Genomic DNA, 27,227 nt, shown 5'->3' with positions numbered 1-27,227 from the left:
TGAATGAGTCTCATGAGATCTGGTGGTTTGATAAGGGGTTTCCCGTATTGCTTGGCTCTCATTCTCTCTCTTGCCTGCTGCCATGTAAGACATGCCTTTCATCTTCCACCATGATTGTGAGGCCTCCCCAGCCACATGGAACTGTGAGTCTGTTAAACCTCTTTTTCTTTGTAAATTACCCAGTCTTGGATATGTCTTTATCAGCAGTGTGAAAATGAGCTAATACATACAGTTAAGCATATGTCATCCAGTTTTGTTTTTTTTTTGTAATAGATTTTATTTTTTGTTTAACGGACTTTATTTTTTAGAGCAGTTTTAGGTTTACAGCAAAATTAAGTGGAAAGTACAAGAATTCCTTTATACCTTCTGCCCCCACACATGCACAAGCCTTCCCCACTCTGGACATTCCACACCAGGGTGATACATTTGTTATAATTGATGAACCTACATTAAGGCATCATTATCAATGAAAGTCCATGATTTACATTAGTGTTCTCTCTTGGTAAACACATTCGGTGGGTTTTGACAAATGACAAATAACATGTGCCCACCATTGTGGTATCATACAGAGCAGTTTCACTGCCTTAAAAATCCTCTGCGCTCTGCCTGTTCATCTCTCCCTCCCCTCAACCCCTGATCCTTTTACTATCTCCATAGTGTTACCTTCTCTAGAATGTCCTATGGTTGGAATCATAGCATTTTCAGATTAACTTCTTTCACTTAGTAATAGACATTGAAGTCTCTTTATGCCTTTTCATGGCTGGATAGCTCATTTCATTTTGTCTGGCTGTACCTTATTTGTATTTCTGATTTATCTTTTATATATCTTATCTTACCTTGAAGAGGTGTAAACTCTTCATAGAATAACAGAAATGTTATTCTTTGCTTCTTTTTGCTCCCTACAAAACTAGGGTAATGCCATATTCTCAGTGTGTGTTTGATAAATAGTGGTTCAATGAGTAACACATGAAATCCTAGTAGTACTCAATTATTTTTTTGAAAGGCAGACTTCTAGCTGCTTTTTACCATCCAGAATATATTGATTACTGAGAAAAAGATTTGAGCACCAAATTATAATCATAAAGGCTATATATTTAATTTCTTTTTTTTTTTTTCCTTTGAGACTGAGTCTCACTCTGTTGCCCAGGCTGGAGTGCAGTGGCAGGATCTTGGCTCACTGCAACCTCTGCCTCCTGGGTTCAGGCGATTCTCCTGCCTCAGTCTCCCGAGTAGCTGGGACTACAGGCGCCCGCCACCACACCCGGCTGATTTTTGTATTTTTAGTAGAGACGTGGTTTCACCATATTGGCCAGGCTGGTTTTGAACTCCTGACCTTGTGATCCGCCTGCCTTGGCCTCCCAAAGTGCTGGGATTACAGGCATGAGCCACCATGCCCAGCCATATTTAATTTCTTAGTATAGGGGAAAGCACCCCAAGGCTCTCTTGCCCCTGTATATGAATAAAATAAGAAAGTGGCATAGGACAGAAGGGTTCACAGACATCAAGACTTGGTAGCTGGGTTCAAAGAAAGGAAACAGGAGAGCTTTGCAAGGTAGGATGAAGAAGTATTGCAGCTTTTTAGTGAGGTTATCTGATCCACTAGCTCCTTCTATGGATGAGAAAAGTGGGGACCTGAAAATGAAAAGAATTTATCTGACGTCACAGAATTTGTGTCTTGGCTGGAACTATCAGCTCAGTCTATCCTAAGACATCCTTCTGGATATCTTCTACATACTTACCCAACTTTATCTAAACAAAACTGTCTTTTATCCATATTTAAACGAATGCTATCATTAACCTCTGTCTTAAAGGTTGTTAAAAATGTGCATTCCTGTTCCATGCCGGGTTGTGGAATTGAGGGTACAAGCATGTTAGAAATGAGAGTTGTCTGGTACAATGTGTTGATGCTCATTGGCTTTTTTTTTGGACAAGGAGTCTCACTCTGTTGCCCAGGTTGGAGTGCGGTGGTGCGATCTTGGCTCACTGCAACCTCTGCCTCCCTGGTTCAAGCAGTTCTCCCACCTCAGCCTCCCGAGTAGCTGGGATTACAGGTGCCTGCCACCACACCTGGCTAATTTTTGTATTTTTGGTAGAGACAGAGTTTCACCATGTTGGCCAGGTTAGTCTCGAACTCCTGACCTAAAGTGATCTGCCTGCCTCGGCCTCCCAAAGTGCCGGGATTGCAAGCGTGAGCCACTGCACACAGCCTCGTTGGCCATTTTTTAAAAGATTTGTGTTGAGAAACCATCAGGTTTCTGTTCTTACTGTGTGTGGCTCTCTCTTCTTTGACTGCATTCCATTAGCATGGAACCAGAAAGTCTGAAACCACTTGTTTTAGACTAAATGTCCCTTATATAGTCATTAGCCCTTGAAGGCATTAATGGAATTGATACTTGTGAGGATAATATTGAGTAATAATCCAGGTCTCAGAAAAGCGTGAGATTTATTTTAGAATGACTTACATGAATGACAGTTAATGGACTAGTTTCATTGCACCAAGGGTTAATTAAGTTTTAGTCATTTGGAACATTTCCACCGTTTCTAAAATTAAAAAATTAATGTTATTTTTGATTAACAAATCATAATTATATACATTGATGGGTACAGTGTGATTTACAGTGTGGCATGATTAAATCAAGATAATTAAGATATCCATCACCTTGCTTACCTTTCATTGTTTATGATGAGACATTTAAAGTTGGTTCTCTTCTGATTTCGAAATACGTAATGCATTGTTGTGGACGGTAGTCACCCTGCTGTACAATAGATCCTGAAACCTATTCCTCCTGCCCTCTGAAACTTTGTGCCCTTTTGATCAGCAACTCCTCATTCCCTCCCTTTTCCCCTGACACCCCACAGCCTCTGGTAACTGTCATTCTATTCTCTACTTCAATGAGTTCAACTTACTAGATTCCACATATGAGTAAGAGCATGTGGCATTTGTCTTTCTGTGCCTCGTTTTCTTCACTTAGCATGAGTTCTCCAGATTCATTCATGTTGTTGCAAATGACAGGATTTCCTCCTCTTCTAAGGCAGACTGGTATTCCATTGTGTATATACACCACATTTAGAAAAATCCATTCATCTTTTGAAGGACACTTAGGTTGTTTCCATATCTTGGCTATTGTGAATAATGCTGCAGTGAACATGGGAGTGTGGTTATCCCTTCTCCCTATCGATTTCCTTTCTTTTGGATATATACCCAGAAGTGAGATTACTGGATCATATGGTAGTCTATTTTTAGTTTTTTGACGAACCTCCATGCCTTTTTCCATAATGGTTGTACTAATTTACACTCCCCCCAACAGTGTTTAAGAGTTTCTTTCTCTCCAGATCCTCTCTAACACTTGTTATCGTTCATCTTTTCGATAACAGCTATCCTAACAGCTGTGCACTGATACATTGTTGTGGTTTTAGTTTGCATTTCTCTAATGATCAGTGATGCTGAGCATTTCTTCATGCACCTATTGGCTATTTGTATGCCTTCTTTTAAAAAATGGAACATTTCCTTTTGAGGGATTTTGGATTTCTCCTGAGTGCCAAATGAATGAAGCACTAAATGTGTAAAACTGAATACATACTGAGGGCAACAAGCTGTAGGAGTGTATTTCAGTTAAAAAGCCATACGTTTAGAAATTTTAAAGAAAAGCTGATTATTTCCCACACAGCATCTGCTCATTCCAGTTACCCGAGTGGGTAATTAAAGTACCATTCTTTATTACTAATCTGCCAGTAGTCCCCTTAACCACTCTCCCTACATGAAAATCTTTGAAATTGGGTCAATCATGAGAACCTTAGATTTTAGACTTTTAGTTCAAATTTGCTTTTTTTTTTTTTTTTTAAGGTAAACCAAAGGTCTTCAGCTCTATTTTCTTTTCACATTCTAGATAAGCTGTTGCCAGGTGATGCAGGAGCCCTTTGGTTGCACCTGATGCATTATTGTGAAGCATGTACAGCACCCAAAATGCCAGAGTTCATTCTGTACGCTTTCCATAGCACGTACCGGAAACTGCCATGGAAGGACCTGCACCCTGACCAGATGCTCATGGAGGCCTTCTTCAAAGTAAGCCCTTCATTCCCGGCATCGCAGCCTAGAGAGATCTGGCTTCTAGGGAGCAGCCTGGTCACTGTGGTTGTTAGGCATAGTGGCAGTGTGTGCTAGCGTGGACCATGAATACATTCTGTGTTGCCTCGGTGGTGCCTGTGGAAAACAGTGTCTTGTGGAAGTCATTTTATCGTGTTAAAACATCTACAGGACCATTTTTAAAACCCAGAGAAAGATTTTATCTATAATATGTCAGTCATCCCCTAGACTTTGTCACGTGTGAGTACGTAGTTTAATGCCTCCGTTATGCTTAATCTTGGTTGTTATTGATGTGTTTGTGTCATTACAGTTTGTGTCAACAACTGCTTATCGTTAAATGTCCTATTAAAGCAAATGTAAATTGGTACTGAAGCTATTAGTTTCTTTTAGCAGTTATGCAAGTGAATAATTTGATTATAGGAGATAAAATGCATTGTGACAACCGATGATGCATCATAATCGTGTGCAGACCTGAAATGACTTAAAAAAAGAGAGTGCATGCGAGTCTTTGCAGTAGAAGCAATGGTTACAAAACCAGAAAACAGAGAGTGTAGTGTAACTTACATACTAGTCAGGCATTTGGAGCTGTTGTTGTTTTTCTTCTTTTTTTTTTTTTTAATTACACTCTTGTCTTAGGTTTTTATGGTAGTTTCAGTTCATTTGTTCATAGTCTCATCAGTTAGTGTTTACTCTTACTGTCACATTTATTGTTGAGACACCTTAAGTGCTTTGATACAGATCTACAGTTATTTATGAAGGTTAGCAAAATATACTTAACTTTTTTAGTGCCCTTAATGGAACCCCATCTGTGCTGCTCTTGTCAGCCACTCAGTAGCTGAAATGCAAGAAAAGCTGAGGGCAGTTGTTCTAGAGAAATCCCAGGCTTAAGAATGATTTTATAGCTAGATTTAGTATATGAGACGGGCATTAAGTAAATATTTATCACCATTATGAACATACTAGAGAAAGGTGGTTTAAAGAACTATAAGATGGAGTTTTAAAAAGGATGACCTTAACTATAAGACAGATTAGATAGTAGCACAGCCTGTTAAGGGATGCTGTAGACTCTGTCTCTAGGAGTTTTATTCTAATGGCAGATGACCCTGACCACCCCAGAAGCTGGGGATCTTTTAATTCTTTGTGTCTTGTTGGCATAATAAACTATATTTTTTTGGTGGGGTTGAGGATGAGGATAGAGAACAGATTATAATGGACAATGAAGAATCATTTTCTAAAAGGAAGAGAATTAGTAGTTAGCATAATATAATAACAGTAATGACAAGAAATGAATCATCACCAAATTCCATTGATCATGATTTTATAAATAGACTAGAGCTTTTAATCTTCATTTTGAAAGGAAAAATTCATGAGTAGCCATGTTTTATTTTAAACAAATTAGAAGTATTTAAATAGCTTGTAAGAGATCTTTGAGGTTTCTTATATACTTTATAGTACATCTGTTCCTCATTCTCTAATTTTTTTTTTTTTTTTGAGACGGAGTCTTGCTCTGTCACCCAGGCTGGAGTGCAGTGGCACGATCTTGGCTCACTGCAAGCTCCTCCTTCCAGGTTCTCGCCATTCTCCTGCCTCAGCCTCCCAAGTAGCTGGGACTACAGGTGCCCACCACCATGCCCAGCTAATTTTTTATATTTTTAGTAGAGATGAGGTTTCACCATGTTAGCCAGGATGGTCTCAATCTCCTGATCTTGTGATCCACCTGCCTTGGCCTCCCAAAGTGCTGGGATTACAGGTGTGAGCCACTGCACCCGGCCTCTCATATTTTAAATAGAATTTAAACATGCAGTCATCAAAAATTGTAAAGACTAATAATACGGAGACATTGTTATAATACAGCATTACATTAAAAAGGGAATATAGGCCGGGCGCGGTGGCTCACGCCTGTAATCCCAGCACTTTGGGAGGCTGAGGTGGACAGATCACCTGAGGCTGGGGGTTCAAGACCAGCCTGACCAACATGGAGAAACCCGGACTCTACTAAAAATAAAATAAAAAATAAGCAATAAAATAATAAAATAAAAAATTAGCTGGGCATGGTGGCAGGCACCTGTAATCCCAGCTACTCAGGAGGCTGAGACAGGAGAATTGCTTGAAGCCAGGAGGCGGAGGTTGCGTTGAGCCAAGATCGTGCCATTGCGTTCCAATCTGGGTAACAAGAGTGAAACTCCATCTCAAAAAAAAAAAAAAAGGAAAAAGGAAAAAGGCAATATAAATAATATACACTAGTGTAGTGGATCTCAAAGTAGTGTGGTCCCTGGGACAGCAGCATCAGCATTACCTGGGAACTTACACATTCTGGCTCCCAACCCATACCTGCAAAATTAAAAGCTCTAGGGGTAGGCCCAGCAGTCTGTTTTAATATACCTTCCATTTAGTTCTGATGCACACTTAAGTTTGGGAACTACTGACTAGTAAATTTCAACTTTGCCCTGTCCTGGCACACCTGAGGATTCTGATACACTCCCTGCAGCTCCAGTGACTTACTGTGGCAGCGATTCTCCACCCAGGTTGGGGTTAGGGAAGGTCATTCCTCGCTTATTAAGAATGATTGGAATAAATGCTGAAATCTGAACAGACAAACTAAAATATACACACATACACTGTGGAAGGAAAGATATTACAAATATTAAGTCTAAATCTCTAGGAGGTGGGATTCTAAGTGATATAATCTGGGGAAAAAGTGTTTTTTAAAAACATAATTATGAAACAATTTACATACATTTTCCAGATACATAGATAGCACAAGGCAACAGAATGATTTTAATTCATTTTCTTTTAGGTGGAACGAGGAAGCCCCAAGAGCTGTTTCTTATTTTTGGGGTCTGTACTCTGTGAAGTCAACTGGGTTAGTGTGCTCTCTGATGCCTGGAATTCCAGTCCCCACCCAGAAACCCGCAGCATGATTGTCTGCCTCCTTTTCATGATGATTTTATTGGCAAAGGAAGTTCAACTGGTAGACCAAACAGTAAGTTTGGGAAGCTTATGGCAAAAATTCGGCAAGGCTGCTTAGATCTTTGCTTTCTACTAGGTCGTAGTTTTTCATTTGTTTTTCCAGTGCCCCTATCAGTGTGAACAGATGCTTGGCATATGAGATGTACCTTTAACCAGATGCCTGATTTTCTTGGATAGCTCATTATCTGATTCTAAATTATGCAAAGAACCACACTGAGTTAGAATGTATTAATCAACTTTATTTTGTATCTCATTAATATCTACTTCAATCTCTTGTATGCTTCTTGAAGTCAATTTTGGCATGTCCCACCAGAACAGGGAGTTCTTTTGAAAGAAAAGAACCTGGGTTCCAGATACTCAATACATCTTAATATGAATGTGTTTTTGCCAAAAGTTTGGTTATTGCTTTCACTAGTACTCCTAACTCGAGTAGATACTTACTTGATATCATAACTGTTCTGTGCTTACCATAGGCCATCTTAGTAGTTATTCCACAGACTAGTTAGCAACACATATTTCTGGAAAAATTGGGGCTCTGGAACTAAAGGAATATGTGTTTTATTTTTAGGATTCACCTTTACTTAGTCTCCTTGGACAGACAAGCTCACTTTCATGGCATCTTGTGGATATTGTGTCGTACCAGAGTGTGCTAAGTTATTTCAGCAGCCATTACCCGCCGTCCATCATCCTGGCAAAAGAATCTTATGCTGAATTAATCATGAAGCTCCTAAAAGTGTCTGCGGGCCTTTCTATTCCTACTGACAGCCAGAAGCATCTTGTAAGTTGAGAGGTAGTTTAAAAGGCAGAGACTGTTCCTGGAGATTGGTAGCAGCATAAGTGCTACAAAGGACAGTCGAAGCTAGGAAGTGCTCAGCAGAGGAAGTCGGAGGATGTGTATTATCATATACTCATCTTTTGGCCTTGTAGATCTTTTGGGTTGAGTTCTCCCTTTGGGTGAACTTTTACTTACTAGCAATGTCACATGTCGATGAAAGGTCAAAAGGATTGAGGGCTGCCAGCAAGCTGCTGGTTTCATGATCTGAATGTCATTGGCAGCAGAATAGCAGGGAGGAAGGGAGGTTGGTAATATGAACTTAGGCTTGACAGGGCAAGTCCCTCAGTTTTCTCATCTGATTAGAAATAGTACCTTGCAAAGGCTGGGTGCGGTGGCTCACGCCTGTAATCCCAGCACTTTAGGAGGCCAAGGTGGGCGGATCACCTGAGGTCAGGAGTTCGAGACCAGCCTGGCCAACATGGTGAAAGCCCATCTCTACTAAAAATACAAAAATTAGCCGGGGAATGGTGGCAGGTGCCTGTATTCCCAGCTACTCGGGAGACTGAGGTAGGAGAATCGCTTGAACCCAGGAGGAGGAGGTTGCAGTGAGCCGAGATCGCACCACTGCACTCCAGCCTGGGCAACAGAGTGAGACTCCATCTCAAAAAAAAAAAAAAAGAAATAGTACCTTGTCTCAAAGTGGTGTTTTGAGGATTGAATTCGATAATGAACATAAAAGTTTTTGGAAAAGTTTCTGGCAAGTAGTTAGTGTTTGGTTAATGTTGTTATTCTTGTAGTAAAAAAGGAAGAGTATTCTGCCACAATTTGGGAAAACATGGGCCCTGGTCAAAGTGTTACCATAGATTTGCCTTTCACTAGGCCCCTTGGGCCACGTGGGACTAAGTCTTCATGTGGCTTCCTGTTCTGTCCCCTCTACTCCCTACCCAAGCATTCATTGCAGTGCCATGCTCCCAGGAAATATGCAGTTAACACTCCTTGCTTGGATTCATTTGAATGATTTTTTTTTTTTTTTTTGGTCAGGATGCAGTTCCAAAATGCCAAGCTTTTACTCATCAGATGGTTCAATTCCTCAGCACCCTGGAACAAAATGGAAAAATCACCTTAGCAGTCCTAGAACAGGAAATGTCTAAGCTCTTAGACGATATCATTGTCTTTAACCCGCCCGGTAAGTGACCAGTCGGAAGTCCTGTATTCATTCAGTCAATGCATTCCTGCTGTGCGTAAGGCACTGTGAGATCAGGAGGATGTTCAGGACACTGGCACTCCTCTTTCCAGAGAAGCAATGGTCAGAGAGGTGTTTGGACACCAGGGACTCAGCAGTGGGGAAGGATTGACACTGGCAGATGCTGTTGGGTGGTGGGCGAGACTGACCTTTAAGCTGGACAATGGGATCTAATGATTAGGAGATATCAGAGACCTTTCAGTGAGCGGCATTTCTAGGGATTTTGGCTTTTAACTGGGAGGGCACTTCAGAATCACCTGTAGACTTGTCAAGAAACTGTGTCTGGAGAACCTTCTGCTCCCAGCAGTTTGGTGGACTAGACATACTGCCTGCCTCTCCTGCTGAAGATAACTGGGTGCTGGATGAAATATTTTTAAGAAACTGGAAATTAAATTTATTAGTGGAGTGGCAAAAAGGTAAGGGAACCTCAGAGGCCAGAACCTAAGTGAAAGGAGAAACCCATAAAGGTAGGTGGAGTTCTGAGGCTGCTGTCACCCTGAAGAGTTTTGCTGAATATGTTTGGATATTAGGGGGAGGTGGTAAAGCCCAGGGCCTGCCTAAGATGGGAGCCTAAAAGGAAATCCGATGCATAATCCACAGGGTGACATTTTTACTGTAAAGATAAGCTAGAAGTAAACCTCCTCTTGTGAGAGGAAGGCAAAGACAGTTACCTGTTTTGGCCTCGTTGTTAGGTTAAATGTTTATGCAGGAAAAGAGATATCTGTTTTGAGAATTGATAACAAGCTGACCCTCATGTGGTTTTGAAGCAAGAATTCAGACTACCTAGATTGGTAGAAACAGCAGTAATAACAACAACCTCAATCTAAGAATTTAGAGTAGTTCTGGGTTGGCGGTGCCACCAGCATCTGGCAAAAAGCAACCATAGCTCCTGTTTGGAGAAACGCATCTTTAACTCATGCCTCAAAGTTCCAAGAAACTCACAGTAAAAAAAGTCACAAAACACAGGAAACAAGGTACCATGAGCAAAGTAATAGAAAACAACAGCAGCGTCAGAAATGAAAAGATTGAAGATAGTGGAATAATTAGTACAGTAAGCAAAAAAGTTATTTTTATTATATGCTGAAATAAGAGAGGATTGAAGATATCAGTAAGAAGCAAGGGATTGTAGAAATATGCAGATTTGAGAGATTTATATAATTTAGAAATGAAAAATATAAAGATTATAATAAAGTTAATGGATAAGTTCAACAGATTAAACCCATCCGAAGAGAAAATTGGTAAACTGGAAAACAAAACTGAAGAAAATACTCAGATTGCAGCACAGAGGAACAGAGAAGGAACGTAAAAGTGAGCTGGGCATGGAGGCGGAGGCAGGAGGATTGCTGATGGCCAGGAGTTCGAGGCCACAGTGTGCAATGATTGTGTCTGAATAGCCACTGCACTCCAGTCTGGGCAAAATAGTGAGACCCCATCTCTAAAATAAAAAGAATACGAAAGTGAGGTTAAAAGGCATAGAGGATAGGCTGAGAAGGTTTAATATACATCCTATTATCCAAGTAGAATTCCAGAAGGAGAGGAGATACTTAACTGGGGAGAAGCAATATCTGAAGAGATAGCAAGGCTGAAAATTTTCAGGGCTGATGAAGACAGCAATCCTCAAATTCAGTAAACCCAGCAAATCCCAAGTAGGATATATGGAAAGAAATTCAAACCTGTATACACTATAGTGAACCTGCAGAAGTACCAGTGGCAAAATTAAAAAACAAAACAAAACAAAACCCTTTACATCCAGGAAGGAAAGGCAGATTACCTACCAAGGAGCAACATTTAGACTGACAGCTGACTTCTCAGTATCAATAAAAGAATCTGTAAGACAGTGGGATAACAACTTCAATGTGCTATGAGAAAATGACTCATAACCTAGAATTGTAAACTAAGAAAAGCCACCCTTTAATGATGAAGACGAGGTAAAGAACCATACTTTCATTGAGCCCTGAGAGTGTTTGTCCCAGTAGGTGTCACTAAAGAAAATACTAAAGCATGCTAGGAAGGAGGTTGAGTTAAAAGTGTTCTAAGGTTCTACTGCTGTTTAGTGGTCAAGAGATTAACTTTATACCTTGATTAAAGTATGAATATTAACAATTTTAAGAAATTAACCAAAAGAATAGAAATTAAAATGTACAATTTCCAAGTCAGTAGAGGGAGATAAAAAGGAATGTCCAAAGTATGTTCAGTCCAAAGAAGGCAAGAAAGGAAGCATGGAGAAAGTGAGAAAAATAACCAAAATAAGATGATAAAATTCAAATGTATTGGTAAAGGGACTAATGCTTAAGTTAAAAGACAAAGATTGTTAAGGTAGGTTAATAACCAAAAACATCTAGCTTTAAGCTGTTGATAAGAAATACATCAAAAGCCTAAGGATATAGAAAGCTTTCCACAAGATGATTATGTCAGGCAAATATTAAAATAGAAAGCTGGCATAGCTATATTAATATCAGATAAATAGATCTGTAAGGCAGAAAACTTTGTAAAAGCCAGATGTTCATCTCTGTGTATTTCTGCCCCGAAGTTGCATGACAAAGAAAAAAAAATCAGTAACTAAATAGAACTAGAGGGAAAAACACTGTGGAAATTAAGAAGCAAACTTTTAAATAACTGATGGCCAAAGGAATAATCATAATAGAAATTTAAAATACTTACAACTGAATAATAAAATACAGTGCATCAAAATTTGTGGGATGCAGCTAACATGGGACTTATTATTTTAGCCTGTTCTCACACTGCTATAAAGAAAAACCCAACACTGGGTGATTTATAAGGAAAACAGGTTTAATTGGCTTATGGTTCTGGAGGCTGTACAGGAAGCATGGTGCTGCCATCTGCTCGGCCTCTGGAGAGGCCTAAGGAAGCTTACAATCACGGCAGAACGCAGAGTGAGAGTAACACTCCACATGGCCAGAGAAGGAGCAAGAGAGAGAATGAGCAAGGGGGGAGATGTTGCACACTTTTAAACTACGACATCTCTGAGAACTCTAGTATGAGAACAGCACCAAGAGGATGGTGCTAAACCATTCATGAAGGACCTACCCCCATATTCAGCCACCTCACACTAAACTCTGCTCCAACATTGGGGACTACGGTTCAACATGAGATTTGGTGGGGACACAGATCCAAACCGTATCACTTACTTTCAGGGCCTTAAGTGCTCATCATAGACTTTTTTAAAAGGTGAAAATTAAAAAGATAAGCATTAAACAGTTATTTAAAAAGACGGCAAAATTACAGTCAAAGACAGTAGAGGGGAGGAAATAATAAAGAGAAAATAAATAGGAAGAAACTAAGAATGAAGAACAATGAAACTGGTAAATGTGTGGGTAAATCTAAATGAAATCTGACTGTATAAGACAATAATAATAGAAATGGTTTGTTGGGCTATGGCAACAGTGGAGAAATGAAGTTAGAATGTTCCAAAGCCATTACATCATCTGGGAACCAATTAACATTAGACTTCAAAAAATCAGGAATGCATGTTTTCATTTATAGGATAACCACTGTCAGAATTTTAAGAGAGGATTTAGTTTTCAAGCTAAAACAGGGAAAAAGTAGAATAATGATCTAAAAGAAGCAAAAGAGAGAAAAAGAAATGTAGAATAGGAGGGACAAATAGGATACATATAGGAAGACAGTAGATTTAGACCCAGCTACATCAGTAATTAATTATAATAACTGTGAATGACTAAGATTGTCATACCAGATAAAACAAGGAAGAAAAAGACAACTTAGTAGAAAAAAATGGACAAGACCCTTGAAACGACATTCTGCAAAAGAAAATATACTGATCACCAATAAACATGAAACGGTGCTAAATGTTGTTAATGGTCATACCTGTTTCATGTAGATATTGTAAGTATTGAGTGAGATAATATCTAAAATTTTAGCATCAGCCTGGCAAGTCAGCCACATTCAATAAATCTTATGGAAAAAAACTATCAGCAAGCAATGCTGGAGAAACTGTTCTAGAGTTGGTCAGATATGATTGAACCAGGAAGGTTGAATAATAGCTGGCCAGGGAAAGGAGAGAAGGGTGTTCTGGAAAGATCTTCATCGGAAGAGTGATAGGATCAGATATGGTATTTAGGAAAAGATTTGAGAGCCCTGTTGATATGAACAGGAATGGGAGAGACTAGGGTCTGTTGTAGTAATCTATTCCTATTAGTCATAATTAAGAGATAAAATTTAAATTGCTATTCCGTTGAAATTCAGAGATGAGCCTTTATTTCCAAGAATATTTGTACCCATAGAAATACATGAAGAAATAGACAGATATACTGTTACTATCTCTCTCAAACTTGTTTTTTAAGTCCTTGCTTGATAGTAAGTAGGTCGTACAGAAAGATTAAGTGAGGGTTTATTTAACCCTGCATAAGTAGATGAATTTGTTTTGATAGATGCGATGAGTAAGATCTCTCAACTTTTTACCCTTCCTATTGACATAAATACTGAATCCTTGTGGTGTGAAAGCTACAGCTTGAGGAGAGCTAGAAGAGTTGGCAAAAATTATTCCATTTAACTCTCAGTAAAATATATTTTCTGTTTTTGAATGTGAAGATTTGCAGTTCTCTTGTAAAATGAATTCGTTCTTTTTCTTGAATTCCTCTCTCTTTACCTCCAATTTTTTTTGAAAAATTACCAGTTGGTTTACTTTCCTTATTTAAAAAACAAAGAAATAAAAGAGCTGCTGTTAGGACACTTTACAAAGGTTTTTCCTTACATTTATATTTAGTTTTAAGTAATAACCTTTAATGTGTGTAAATCACCCTAGAATATTGACAGCGGTGGCAGTGACAGTGGGTACTTTTGCTACTTGGTTTACTGAATGACTGGTGAGATCTACGTATTTGGTTTTCCATGAGCAAAGGTTGGAAAATAAAGACTGACTAGGCATGTTCTGATAAGTTACTCTTTCACACCAGCTTCAGATTTGTCTATTTATTAAGTATTGCTCTGCTATGCTGCTGTACCCAGGGAACTCACAGTAGTTCCTGCTTTTACTCTTAGTAACCGTGTGCCGCATACTACCTGTACAAACTTAACACCATCCAGAGCCTTCCTTCCAGTCCCTTGCAGTCAGCTACTAGCACTGTAAAATCTGCCTGGAGAACAGCTAAGATTGAAGCACTGTTATTCTCCTGATCACATGGATAGTACCTTTCTGGCAGCCATTCTTGAGTGTGTCTATATTCCTTTCAGACATGGACAGCCAGACCCGCCACATGGCCCTCAGCAGCCTCTTTATGGAAGTCCTGATGATGATGAACAACGCGACTATTCCAACAGCAGAGTTCCTTCGGGGCAGTATCCGGACCTGGATTGGCCAAAAAATGCATGGGCTGGTGGTGCTGCCCCTTTTAACAGCAGCCTGCCAGAGCCTGGCGTCCGTCCGCCACATGGCTGAGACTACAGAAGCCTGCATCACTGCCTACTTCAAAGAAAGTAAGAGGAGGTCATCTTACGCTCCATTGTATTGGTCTTTTCCAGAAAGATGAAAGCATTGTCATCAGCAGATATGTTTCCAGACTCTTCCCAGTGAGGGATTTGCCATTCTAATTTTCTGCTCTACAAATGTTGTGGATGTTTCTGAATATACGTATTTTTCATAAAGATCTGCAGTTAGCATGAGAACCTGTGGCCATGTCTGTTGGTACAATCACATTTCAAGGGAGAAAAGCTCTAATCCACTTCACGTTAGTTTTGGAGGGTCAGACCAACCTGTTATGATATGCAAATTGTGTTGTGTCACAGGCCAAGTCATAGTCCTCAGAACAAATGCTATATACCAGGATCTATATAATCATAGTCCATGAGGTTAATTTTCCCTGTTTTTGTCACTTTTGGTAAAAGGAGTTTTCATAGAAGTTTTTAAAATTGCTGCTTATCAGACCTTTTAAAGCATTATGAAGGGCTCATTCATTGTCACCCCTCCTTTTTAAAAATCTGTTTTACTTTCTACCTCTAAACTGTCAGACTCTGGAAGCGGCTTAGTCTGATTAAGAATTGCTGAGAACAGCACTTCTCAACTCTGATATCCAGATAACACATCACACTGCAGTCAGTGGGAGAGAAGCAGTAGTGAGAAGGAGGGTATCGGAGCAAGGATCCAGGAAGTGCCCACAACCTGCCATCTGCCCTGTCCTGACCACCCATGAACAGCACATGCCCACCCATGGAGGTGGTGTGCATGTCACCATGCCACCCCACCCTCGCTCCCCCAAAGAGTGGAGAACCATTAGGATAACACTGCTATTCCAAACTCATGTGTGTTACTAAAAATCAAACAGTTTCAATACATGAGTTAAACTAAGCTTTGATAAGTAAAACTACTCACAGATTGAGTGATAACAGTTTCCCGTCGGAAAGCATAAGTGTTCATATGTTCTTAAAAAGGGTATTAAAGTTAAAATTCTTAACTGACCAGGACAGGCAGTGTCTACATGTGGTTTTAAGGATCATAATGTGATAGAAAGGTGATTTATACGTATGCAGCCCTGAATTCTGATTTCTTAAACCTTTCTGGTGGCTACGCTGGGGACAGGCATCTGGCCTGAGGGCTATCCAGTCTGAGCCCTGAGGTATATTTGACTTTTGTAGCCTCCAAGGTCACTGTAAGAAAGGTTGTCTTGACATGAAGCTTATTATCTCATAGGTTGCTATGTCAAAAAAAAAAATCATGAAGCTTAAAGTGAAAATATTTGCTAGAGTTGTCAAGTAATTGGATTCTTGCCTATATCTTGATGTCTCTTCTTCATGTTCTTAGGCCCTCTCAATCAGAATTCAGGATGGGGACCCATTCTGGTATCCCTTCAGGTTCCCGAGCTCACCATGGAAGAGTTCCTGCAGGAGTGCCTCACCTTGGGCAGTTACTTGACTCTTTACGTCTACTTGCTTCAGTGTTTAAACAGCGAACAGACTTTAAGGAATGAAATGAAAGTGCTGCTCATCTTAAGCAAGTGGCTGGAACAGGTGTACCCAAGGTACGTTGGCCCTCAGGCTGTTACATCAAACTTGCTGTATTTGGTTAACTTGGAATTTAGAGCTTAAGTCTAGCTTTAAGTACACAGAACCAAGAGGTGCATAAAAAATAAGGTTTTAAGGTATGGTGACAGTTGTTTTGGAAAGATTCTTAATTAATAGGCTAATCTTCTGAGCAGATTTTTTGTTTCCTAAAACTGGCACTTTGAAACACCAAGCATCAGTTTCCTTACCAGTTAAGTGGAGATAGTAATCCCTACCTGATAGGGCTGTCATGAGGATGAAGTGGAAGAACACGAAGTTCATCACAGTGGCGTGTAGTAGGTGTTCCACAGATGGCGGTGGTTACAATCCCATGGCTCTATTAACATCAGCCGTTAGCCTGTGCTTTTGAAGTACTGAATGTCTCCTATCCTTCAAACTCTGATGTGGACTTGCAGTTAAATGGGAGTGGGAAAAATTTACTTCTAATTTTATTTTCCTCCGGTGCCTCCCCTAGCTCCGTGGAGGAAGAGGCAAAGCTGTTTTTGTGGTGGCACCAAGTCCTTCAGCTCTCCCTCATTCAGACAGAGCAGAATGACTCCGTCCTGACAGAATCTGTCATTCGAATTCTGCTCTTGGTTCAGAGCAGGCAGAACCTCGTGGCTGAGGAGAGACTCAGCTCTGGGATCCTGGGGGCAATTGGGTTTGGCCGGAAGTCGCCTTTGTCTAACAGGTAAGGAAGCGCCTTTCTAACACTGTTGTTCTAAATAGGCCTCAGACATCTGTACCTACTTACAGGTTGTGATATACTTCAGTAGGTTTTTCGACTTAGGATCTAGGTTCTCCAGAAAGATTAATGGAAAAAAAAAAAGAAAAAAAAAACAGAGCCTGATTACATCTTTACATTCTAAAAAGCATTTTTATTTTTTCTTACCTTTAAAAAAAATTTTCAATTCAAACAGTATTTTTAATAGTATCTCCTGTTGTGTTTGGACTTTGTAACCTAACTGCACTACTGATTTCTTTTTGGTTTTGAGCTAGTCATGGACGGTATGCGAGCATAGTTTAAAAGCCAAGTCAGCTGGGCACTTGAGGCGTTCAGGGAAATCCAGAACCTGTGAGGGACTCAGTCTAGTGAACTGTAAAGTCGTCAAGCTGGGTTAAGATCTGTTGGTGGCCAGGCGCGGTGGCTCACACTTGTAATCCCAGCACTTTGGGAGGCCAAGGCAGGCAGATCACTTGAGGTCAGGAGTTCGAGACCAGCCTGGCCAACATGGTGAAACCCCGTTTCTACCAAAAAATACAGAAATTAGCCGGGCATGGTGATACATGCCTGTAGTCCCAGCTACTCTGGAGGCTGAGGTGGGAGAATCGCTTGAACCCGGGAGACAGAGGTTTCAGTGAGCTGAAATTATGCCACTGCACTCCAGCCTAGGTGACAGAGTCAGACCCTGTCTAAAAATAAATAAATAAATAAATAAATAAACACAAATATAAAAATTAGCTGGGTGTGGTGGCAAGCACCTGTAGTCCCAGCTACTCAGGAGGCTGAGGCAGGAGAATTGCTTAAACCCAGGAGGCAGAGGTTGCAGTCAGCCGAGATCACACCATTGCACTCCAGCCTGGCCAACAGAGCAAGACTCTGTCTCAAAAAAACAGAAAAAATGAATAAAAGGCCTGTTGGTAAGAAGGATAAGTAATGAGAAGCAAGTCTGGATTTTTGTTGCAAAAAATCCCAAGGCATGGAAGAATTTGCCATTAGCTCCTGTTTTCTCTCATAATACTTACTTACATCATGGTTTCCTTTTCAAGCCCTTGTCAGTGTTGAAAAGAGTTTGCAAACTTGATGATGTCAGCATTCTTGTGGAATAGCCCATTGTGATGTTGTAACTTTGGGACTCACTCATTCCAAACCAGTTAACGTCATGTTTTTTTGTTTGCGGTGGAAGATAGCAGGACTGCGAGATTTTGTTTTACTTAAATTTGGCTTGCGTCTTTTATTCTTTTTAATTGTGATAAAATACACATAACTTAAAACTTTCCATGGTAACCATTTTTATATGCACAATTCAGTGACATTTAGAACATTGACAATGTTGTTGTAGCCATCACCACAATCTAGCTTCAGAACATTTTCATCACTCCAAAAGGAAGCCCTACACTCATTAAGTAGTCACCTCCATTCCCTTTAATCCCCGTGTCTCTAGTAACCACTAATTGACATTATGACTTTATGTATTGAATCCTATTTTGGACATTTCATATAAATGGAATCATATAATGTGTGGCCCCTTATGTTGGACTTTTTTCACTTAACATAAAGTTTTCAAGGTTCATTTATGTTGTAGCATGTATCCATACTTCGTTTGTTTTTATGGCTGAATAATATTCCTTTGTATTCCACATTTTGTTTATCCATTCATTAGCTGATGGACATTTGGATTGTTTCAACCTTTTGGCTATTGCAGATAATGCTGCTATGAGCATTTGTATACCAGTTTTTGTTAGAACATCTGTTTTTAGTTTTTTGTGTATACCTAGGAGCAGAATTGCTGGGTCCTATGGTAACTCTATGCTTCACTTGTTGAGGAACTGCCAAACTCTTTTCCCTAGTGCCTGCACCATTTACATTCCCACCAGCAATGTGCAAGGGTTCCAGTTACTCCACATCTTTGCCAACACTTTCATTCTTGAATCTGAATTATACATATATTGTTTGGATGGTGATAATGGATAAAACTTCTTCTTGATCATATTTAAGATTTTCCTGAGAAGGTGAACAACACAGTAGATCTGGAAATGTGTTCATCTTTTTATGTCATAGAAAATATGGTGTTTATTTCAAAATGCTTACTTTAATAGCCATTTACTTCTTCTGACCTCTCCCTAATGCCTAAGGTTCCGAGTGGTTGCCCGAAGCATGGCTGCCTTCCTTTCAGTTCAGGTTCCTATGGAAGATCAGATCCGTTTGAGGCCTGGCTCTGAATTACATCTGACCCCCAAAGCTCAGCAGGTCAGTATATACAATGAAGGGTTAGAAGTTTGCCTGCACATCTTCCCTAGAAGGCAGGGAGGTGGCAGCCGTAGCCTGTGCGCGTCATGACATGATGCTCTGTGGTGGTAGCACAGTGTTCCCTTTCATGTGCCCTACTTACGGGAAAATGGTTTCATGTGCCAACCTCCAAATTTTTGTAGGCAGTTGTCTAGATCGCTGCTACTGTCATTGTAGAAAAGTAAGGCCAAACGAAAAGTCTGTCTAGCATTAAATTTGGTTCTGATAAGTGTGAATATGCACTTATCTACCACATGCTTGGGCTGGGGCAGGGGCTGGAGCTGGGGACTGGGATCTCGCACAGAAGATGTGGCTACAGTTGGGATGGATGGAAATTAGCTGAGCTTTAGCTTGGAACCGAGAAAGTAGTTCCTGTTTTGTGAGTCTGAAGGTTGACTATTGTTGGCTGATGCTAGAATAACCTAACATGGACAGAATGGTAGCTAGAAATTATAGCTTCTTCTAAAAACATGGAAGGCCACATTCCTATAACCTATGGACATGCTGGCCAGGTACAAAGGTGCACAGTAAAAAATGATGATCAGCATTCGTGAGTACTCCCTCTGTGCCAGGTACTATTATAAGTTTTAACTCGACCAATATTAGTGAGTTAAAGCTTTAACTCATTTAATCCTCATAGCAATGCTATAGCACAGAAACGACTTTATTTTTTAAGACAGGGTTTTATTCTGTTGCCCAGGCAGGAGTGCAATGGTGTGATCATATCTCACTGCAGCCTTGAACTCCTGTGCTCAAGCAATCCTCCCACCTCAGCCTCCCAAGTAGTTAGGACTACAGGCATGCATTGCCACTCCTGGCTAATTAAAAATTTTTTTTGTAGAGACTGGGTCTCGCTTTGTTGCTGAGGTTGGTCTCAAACTCCTGGCTTCAAGCGTTCCTCTTAGCCTCAGCCTCCCAAGTGTTGGTATTACAGGCATGAGCCACTGCATCCAGCTGGGAACTATTATTATCCTGGTTTTTTGGATGAGGAAAGAGAGAGAGAGAGAGAAAGGCTAAGTAATTTGTCCCAAATTACACACCTAGTAAGTGTTGGGGCTGGAAGTCGCACTGGCCAGTCTGGCTCCAGGCCTCTCCCATTCCCTGCTCTGCAGGGCTGTCTCTGTAAGTGCTCAGAGCTTGAACACCTTAGCTCCTCTGCTGGGGCAACTTTGTCATGTCTAAGCCAGCCACATGCAATGTCAGATCTTGGTTATTAAGAGCAAGGATCAGACAGAATAATTAGCAGATTAGCAGGTTCTCCACAGGGATCTGGGCTTATAAAATAGCTGATAGTTGTCACTCATTGCCTAGACAGCTGCTGTTTGAATCCCCTATTGTCTTACATGAAACATCCCAGTGGGCAGATGAATATCCTGAGGGCAGGTTGTGAAGTCAGTGAGATGCAGGGTGTATTTGAGAAGACTACGTCTCCTGTGGCCACCAGTACCTGCAGCATCAGTTTCTTGCTTTAGCTGGGGCCCTGGGCTGCCCAGGCCTGGCCTCTTTGCCTTCATTTCTTTGGACTTAAAGTGATGACTCCCTGTATGTCCCATACATACTTGTCATCAGGATTTTCAGATTTGAAGAAAGTTGTCTTTTTAGAAAATGATTATCGTTAGGCAAACTGTCAAAGTAGACTGTTTGGGGGACTAAATTTAAAGAAGGAAAAGAGAGGGAGAGAGACAGAGGGACACTGTGATTCATGGGAATGCCTGTCCCAGTTGATTCCTATTCTTAAATTGAACTCTGTTTACATAGCTCTTAATTTGGTACCCAGATACCTTCAGTTTATTTTCAGCCCAAAGACTTCCATCTACAGCCCTCCTGGTAGTTAATTTCTAAAATTCTGGTTTATTTATCATCCTCAAAAAAATCCCCTCTCTTATGGTTTTTGAATCAAGCACATTCCATCTTTTAATACATATTTTCTAGTGCAGTGGTTTCTGTAAAAGGGACAAGGAGGGAGTGGGGCACTCCATGGTGGGGGATGTGCCCCAGTGAGGAGGGGAACACCGTCAGAATCCTGGGGTGGATGAGCTTGTTAAGTTGGAAAACAAAACTCCTCACCCCAAAAATCAAGAGCCATTGTTGATTTTTTGTTTTCTCCATATACAGTCTCTTCCCCTTCTCTTCTCCTACTATGAAGAAAGGAATAATCAAAATTCTGGAGTCAAAGAATGCTTTTCTTTCCTTCCTCTGAAGAGAGGCATGGAAACAGTTTCTGCCATGATTTTGTGTCATTTGTCAGATGGATTCGGGAGGAACCTATGTACTTCATGCTTGTTGGCTGATTTAACAACCTTCTCACTTACTCTTGGCAGCACTTAGCAACTGGTTCCTCTAGAATTCCTTTCCGTTAGACAGTTTCATATAACATTATCTCATAACCTAGGAACATACCCAACAGCAGATTGAACAGATTTCACCTTAGCAAGATGAGGCTGGTGCCTGGGATTTCCGGTTGCGCCCTAGAACGGAAGGAGTGGACAATCTGGTGGGGAGGACCCCACAGGTGGGACTGGGGAGAACGAGGACAAGGCAGGCTTTAGAAATCGGTGTGGCAGGTGAGGCGCCCAGCAACAAGAGCAGCCTGCCACAGCAGTGGCTCTTGGTAAGGCAAGGTTGGGAAATGGCACAGAACAGAAACAGGGAAGGCTGGGTGTGGGATGCTGCAAAGGCCACAGAGGCTTGGGCTGCTGGCCTCCTTCTGGTTGTGGTTAAGTTAATCAATGCCTGCCTTCCGGACTCCTGGCCTCAGTTCTGTAGGCCTCCTTCCCACAAGGCTCACAGTTGAAGTACACAGTGATAATGGGTGTGCTGTACCTCTGGCAGTCACATTATGTGCCTCTATGGAGTTAACCCTCTCATCTTCCGTGTCTTTTAGGCTCTGAATGCTCTTGAATCCATGGCATCAAGTAAGCAGTATGTTGAATACCAGGATCAAATATTGCAAGCCACCCAATTTATAAGGCATCCTGGCCATTGCCTTCAAGATGGGAAAAGCTTCTTGGCTCTTCTCGTTAACTGTCTGTATCCAGAAGTGCATTATTTGGACCACATACGATAGTTAACACTGAGGCTCTTGAAAAACCCATTGCTGTTTATGTTTACATTTAACTTTGCTGTTGCACAAGTAACTTTGCTCAATTGCACTGTAGAGCTCAGTTTGGCCAATGTGTAGTTGACTGAGATGCAAGTTGGGAGGCGTTAGATATTAGATAATTTTGGGGTGTGTGTGTGTGTGTGTGTGTGTTTTCTTAGCTCTTAAGACCTTCTGGGGACTCTTTAAGTTTTTATATTTATCCACAAGAGAAACTTACTAAGTTCCACTTGGGTGCAGAGCCACTCACAGTTGCCGAATGTCCCAGTCATCTCACAAGACCTCCAGATGGAGTTCTTTGTATGTTTCCACTTCTGTCTCTGTTTTATGTAAATGTTCCAGATCTGACAACCTTGGAAGTCACTCAGTACCCTTACTTTTAAACCCCATTTGTGTTCCTCCAAAGTAAAGAAGTCAATTTTGAAAAATTTCTGCATTTCTCAAATGTGGACAAATACAATAGTTTTAAAGTATTGTTTTTCTCAGAAGGGAGATAAAAATGCCGAGTTAGTTAAAGTGGGTCATGTGTAAAATACGACCACTTGATCGTGATTATAGTGGGCAGTAGAGATGATGACAAGTCAATTTCCATCCAGCCGTGTATCCTCATGGAGAAGCTGCCTGTCTGAATCAGGATGGCAAGCTGGCAGTCTGGGAGGAGCATGTTTTGCACAGATGTTTTGTTTGGTCCACTTGGTGAGGAGTGCAGACAGGGCTGCCTCTCTCTAGTCGGGAGAGTCTGTGCATTCCCTCGGGCCCTGACCCTAGCCTCATTCACATCACTTGCCCCTGTCGACACCTAAGTTTGCACCCTTTGATAGACACCATGTTCGATATCTGAAAGGCTCAGTGTCAGGAGACAGAGACTGAGGGAGACTGAAGACCTGATTCTCTGTTCCCTGCTTGTTTTTTAACTTCAAACTCAGATGAAGCCAATGGACCTGCTGAAACACTTGTCTGTGGAAACTGGGTCAGGTCGGGAGATCTACTGAAATTTGGCTTTTTTTCCATAGCCACGTGCCTTCTGTTGTTGACAGTTCATTCATTACCAAAGCCTGTGTGTAACTTTGCCTTGTTCTGTGGCCATCTTCTTGCTCATGTTATTTCTCCTGGGAATGAGCAGTTTGACTTCTGTTCCCACGTTCCTCATTCTATCAGCTCTAGATGGATTTTGCCTGCATAGCTGGCTTAATATGTCTTTGTGTATGGGTAGTCTGTAGCCTGAGAATATTTACCTAAAAATGTCTAAACAGCCACCAAGAATGTTTATAGGGGTATAGGAATATAGTTAACAGAGTGCTAATCTCTCCTCAAATGTCCTTTTGGAATGCTTCCCCCAAAATTGGGAAGTTGGTAGGAGCTTTTCTTTACTTTGAATTTCTTTACTTGGACAGAACGATTCTGCCTTAAAGACACGCTTTGCAGCTCTGATAAAGAACATCCCTGTTTAGTCTCTTGAGTTTTACAGGCCACAAAATGTCCGTCTCAGAGGGATCTGTCTCAGCTTTTCTTATTTTTGCTTCTCTCCGTTTTCAAAATTAATCATCTTGTTCTCTGTATAAGAAAATTTGAGAAGCTGTGGACAATTTAATAGTCTGATCTGGCAACAGCGATTTTTGTTTGGAAATATTTTGTGTTTTCTTTGAGGAGGATATAATTACTGATATCCTAGGATGTGAAATTTTTGAGTGACAGTATGCACATTTTAAAGAAAATTATGATTAATCTGTATAATGTTTTTTGGTCTGTAAAAATTATAAAAAATAAAATCATTTATCTTTGGTTGTAACTGTTTAAAAACCAAATTATAGGGATATCACACTATCTTGTAAAGTGTTTCAGCTGTTAAAGTTGCTGTAGGTTTTTATGCCTGATGTCATTTAATTTATTTGACATTGAACTTCATTAATAATCAGAGATGGTCAGTGAAAGCGCTTCCTCTTTAACTCTTTCTTGCTTAACCTTGGAAGGTTGACTCAACTCCTAGGTGTCTATGGGAAACTCTGGGCTAGGAACGTGCTATAAAGACACTGAGCTAGTTCAGACATGGCCATGCTGCTGTAGCCTCCTGGGAAAGAAGGGCGGCAGAGAGACCAGCCCGCCTGTTGGCTTGCAGGGGTAATGAGCCTTGGCTTGAAAAAATTGTTGGCCTCCAGAGAGCACGGGGCTGTGGTTTCAGAATCAGTGATGGGTGCCGCACATCAAGACGGGAATCAAGCAAGACCAAGGCCCTGTGGACTGAGCAGCGTGGAGGGCGAACGGCTGCAGGCTCCAGACTTCACCACAGGGTGGCCAACAGTGGCATCGGGACCAAATAAAGATGTCTAACAGCTTCCTGGGAGCAGGAGGAGGCAGGATTCTGGTTGCCATGAAAAACATCTCTCTCCCTCTCCATCACTCCCCATGCTGCAGTGCACAGGTGGGTTGCAGAGGCAGGCTGCATCCCGGAATCATGTTGTCCCACTGCCTATTAATAGAACAAGTGAAGGGCAGAATGCTGGAACACACCAGACATAGAGGGAGGGAGGTCCTGCCAGATGTGTCTACACAACTGTCTACATAGCATGACAGTAGCAGTGGATTCGGGACCCACCTGTACATGTTTCCAAAGCTCCTTCCTGCACACTCGGGACCTCAGCTCCAAGGCGTGACTCATTTCTCAGTCTCACCATCCTTTGTTGGCTCAGACATCGCATGCCTCTGCCCCACTGGGGTTGTGTGCCTGCGTCTCTCACTTCTTTGAGGTTGGGGAAAGCCTAGTCCAGAAAATGAAAACCCATAGACCAGCCTAACTTCCTTTCAACCAAGTGACGGCCTCCTGGTTCCTCTCAGTTCATCATCAAAATCAGTGTGTACATGTCATACAAGCCAAGAGTGTTCATGTCCTCGTTCCTTTCAAATGAAGGTGATATATACTTTTTCACTGAGTTTTTATTCCTGAAATTCTTTCTTCTGGAGCAGGAAGCAAATGTCCTGGAATCGTAGACTTTTACAGTCAGAAGGGTCATTCACGTTCATCTAGTGCCCCTCTCACTCTGCAGGGATCCTCCTGCCTCTCCTCTGCCCCTGTCCAGTGCCTGGTGGTCCAGCCTGTGATGGGCAGGCCTAGGCTGCCATCCGCAGGCTCTGTAGTTCTGCTTTCTATTGAACCAAGATGTTTCTACGTTGCCTATTGGTCGTGGTTCTGTCCAGAGCAGTTCAGGCTGGGGCTGTTCACTTGCCCCTCCTTGAGGCAGACCTTTAGATATTTTCAGTTTTCATCACATGTCTAACACCACTTCCACCCCACCCCTCACCTCTTAGGCTAAATCCAAGCTAAATCCCCCAATGTCTTTTTTTTTTTTTTTTTTTTGAGACGAGTCTCATCTGTCACCCAGGCTGGAGTGCAATGGCATGGTCTCGGCTCACTGCAACCTCCGCCTCCTGGGTTCAAGCTATTCTGCCTCAGCCTCCCAAGGAGCCAGGACTACAGGTGCATGCCACCACGCCCGGCTAATTTTTGTATTTTTTAGTAGAGACAGGGTTTCACCCAGCCATTGAGACAAGCTGGTTTCAAACTCCTGACCTTGTGGTCCGCCCGCCCCGGCCTCCCAGAGTGCTGGGATTACAGGCGTGAGCCACCGCGCCCATCTCCCCTGCAATGTCTTTAGTTAGACCTTTTCCACCATCATGTCTAACTGGGCTACGGTTTGGGGAAAGTGTCCAAATTAGTCCGTGTTATCCTAAAAGGGGTGTGCCCCGGATTAGCAGGGCCAGGGCTAGGGTGAGACAAATGAGGCACCTGGGGCATACATTTAAGTTGGTGCTTGCTTGCAGGTGCCAAGAGAGTGCTTCCTTGGGTTTACCCCCGTGGTGCCTCCTTTACCTCATTCTGGCCCCAGCCCTGGGGTTAGAGTCGCACCAGTGTGGTCCAAGTGGCATAATTATCTCCCTAAATGCTTGGGCAGCATCAGCTTTCAGTAGCTGTGCCCCATGGGAGGCACATTAAGCTAGTGGCAAGTTGAGACTGCAGACCTCAGCTTAATATCAGTTGTTGCCCAAGACAGATCTCACCCCACATCTTCATGACAGGCCTAACAACAAGGCACTTTGCCCTTAATCCTCTACTACTGCCTGCTCTTCATTTTGGGCCAACTGTACAGCTCATTTTGAGATAGTAGCTGATCATTTTTCTGATCAGTTAACTTTGTCTTATTAAGCAAAATGGAGAATATAATGTTGGGAAATAAGTGTGTTGATTAAAAGAAAGTATCCCCTTCTACCATCTTCCATTTGTGTCTGGGTTGTGCTGGGTAAAGTTCTAGACTTACTAACGCAGACTTCATTTTGGTCCGGTTTCCACAGCATGCCTCGGGCATCAGTGTCCAGGAGTAGCTGTATTTGAGGTTTCCTTCACTCTGGTAGGTTCCTGATTCCTGATGAAAATAACTTGAAAAAAAAATAATTATACTACTGATCCTCTTTTGGGATAATGAAATTGCGAAGGAATGTTGTTGATTATAACTTTTATTTTTTAATGTACAGATGTACTGTCTCTCATTGAGCACTGATAGAATTTATTTTTCTTTCAATAGTTTAAAATCACTTATGTGGAGACACATACTTAAGTGTGTTCAACTCGTTTTCTTCCCACATATCTAGTGTGACCTTTAAAAACCACAACTTTATTTTGGACATTAAATGTGCAATATTCACTACTTATTCATTGTTCCACATTTTTCATACTTGTACAAAGGGTAAGTTTTTATATAATGGTGAGAAACAGGAAGAAATGACAACTGGTTAAGTAAAATTCTGCAAATAAACTAGATTCGAATTTAATTTACACATGGCGGGCCTGTCTCATTGTTTCCTGCAAGTTGGTTGACAGTCTTTTCATACATTAAACCACAATAAGAAAAATTTTATATGAGAAACTTCGTAATGGATAGAATAGTTATTTTGTGACCTTTCACCACGATGGGCGAGGCCTCTAATTTCAAAGAGAAGTTTTAACTTGAGAATTTCAGAATTGGCAGGGACAGGAGGCCA

The 27,227-nt window shown here is 41.3% G+C and overlaps 1 protein-coding gene across 20 annotated transcripts in view; it reads left to right on the top strand.

Annotated features, from left to right (window-relative positions):
• Positions 1-27,227, top strand: part of EPG5 (ectopic P-granules 5 autophagy tethering factor) — a 166,749-nt gene that overhangs the window by 92,700 nt on the left and 46,822 nt on the right. For 8 of the 20 annotated variants that reach the window (XM_047437707.1, XM_017025891.2, XM_047437705.1 and 5 more), the window contains 9 exons: positions 3,888-4,063; positions 6,882-7,067; positions 7,623-7,832; positions 8,871-9,015; positions 14,284-14,526; positions 15,848-16,064; positions 16,562-16,777; positions 18,943-19,057; positions 21,212-27,021. In XM_047437707.1, coding sequence (XP_047293663.1) covers positions 3,888-4,063; positions 6,882-7,067; positions 7,623-7,832; positions 8,871-9,015; positions 14,284-14,526; positions 15,848-16,064; positions 16,562-16,777; positions 18,943-19,057; positions 21,212-21,424 — 1,721 coding nt within the window. In that variant the 3' untranslated portion in view covers positions 21,425-27,021. Of the gene's footprint in view, positions 1-3,887; positions 4,064-6,881; positions 7,068-7,622; positions 7,833-8,870; positions 9,016-14,283; positions 14,527-15,847; positions 16,065-16,561; positions 16,778-18,942; positions 19,058-21,211; positions 27,022-27,227 lie in introns of those variants that run through there. The other 12 variants (XM_047437709.1, XM_047437708.1, NM_001410859.1 and 9 more) reach the window with 3 other exon arrangements.

Source organism: Homo sapiens, chromosome 18 (assembly GCF_000001405.40).
Source record: "Homo sapiens chromosome 18, GRCh38.p14 Primary Assembly".
In the NCBI taxonomy this organism is placed as follows: Eukaryota; Metazoa; Chordata; class Mammalia; order Primates; family Hominidae; genus Homo; species Homo sapiens.
The sequence above is the reverse complement of the archived record's forward strand: the minus strand, read 5'-3'. Positions and strand labels throughout refer to the sequence as shown.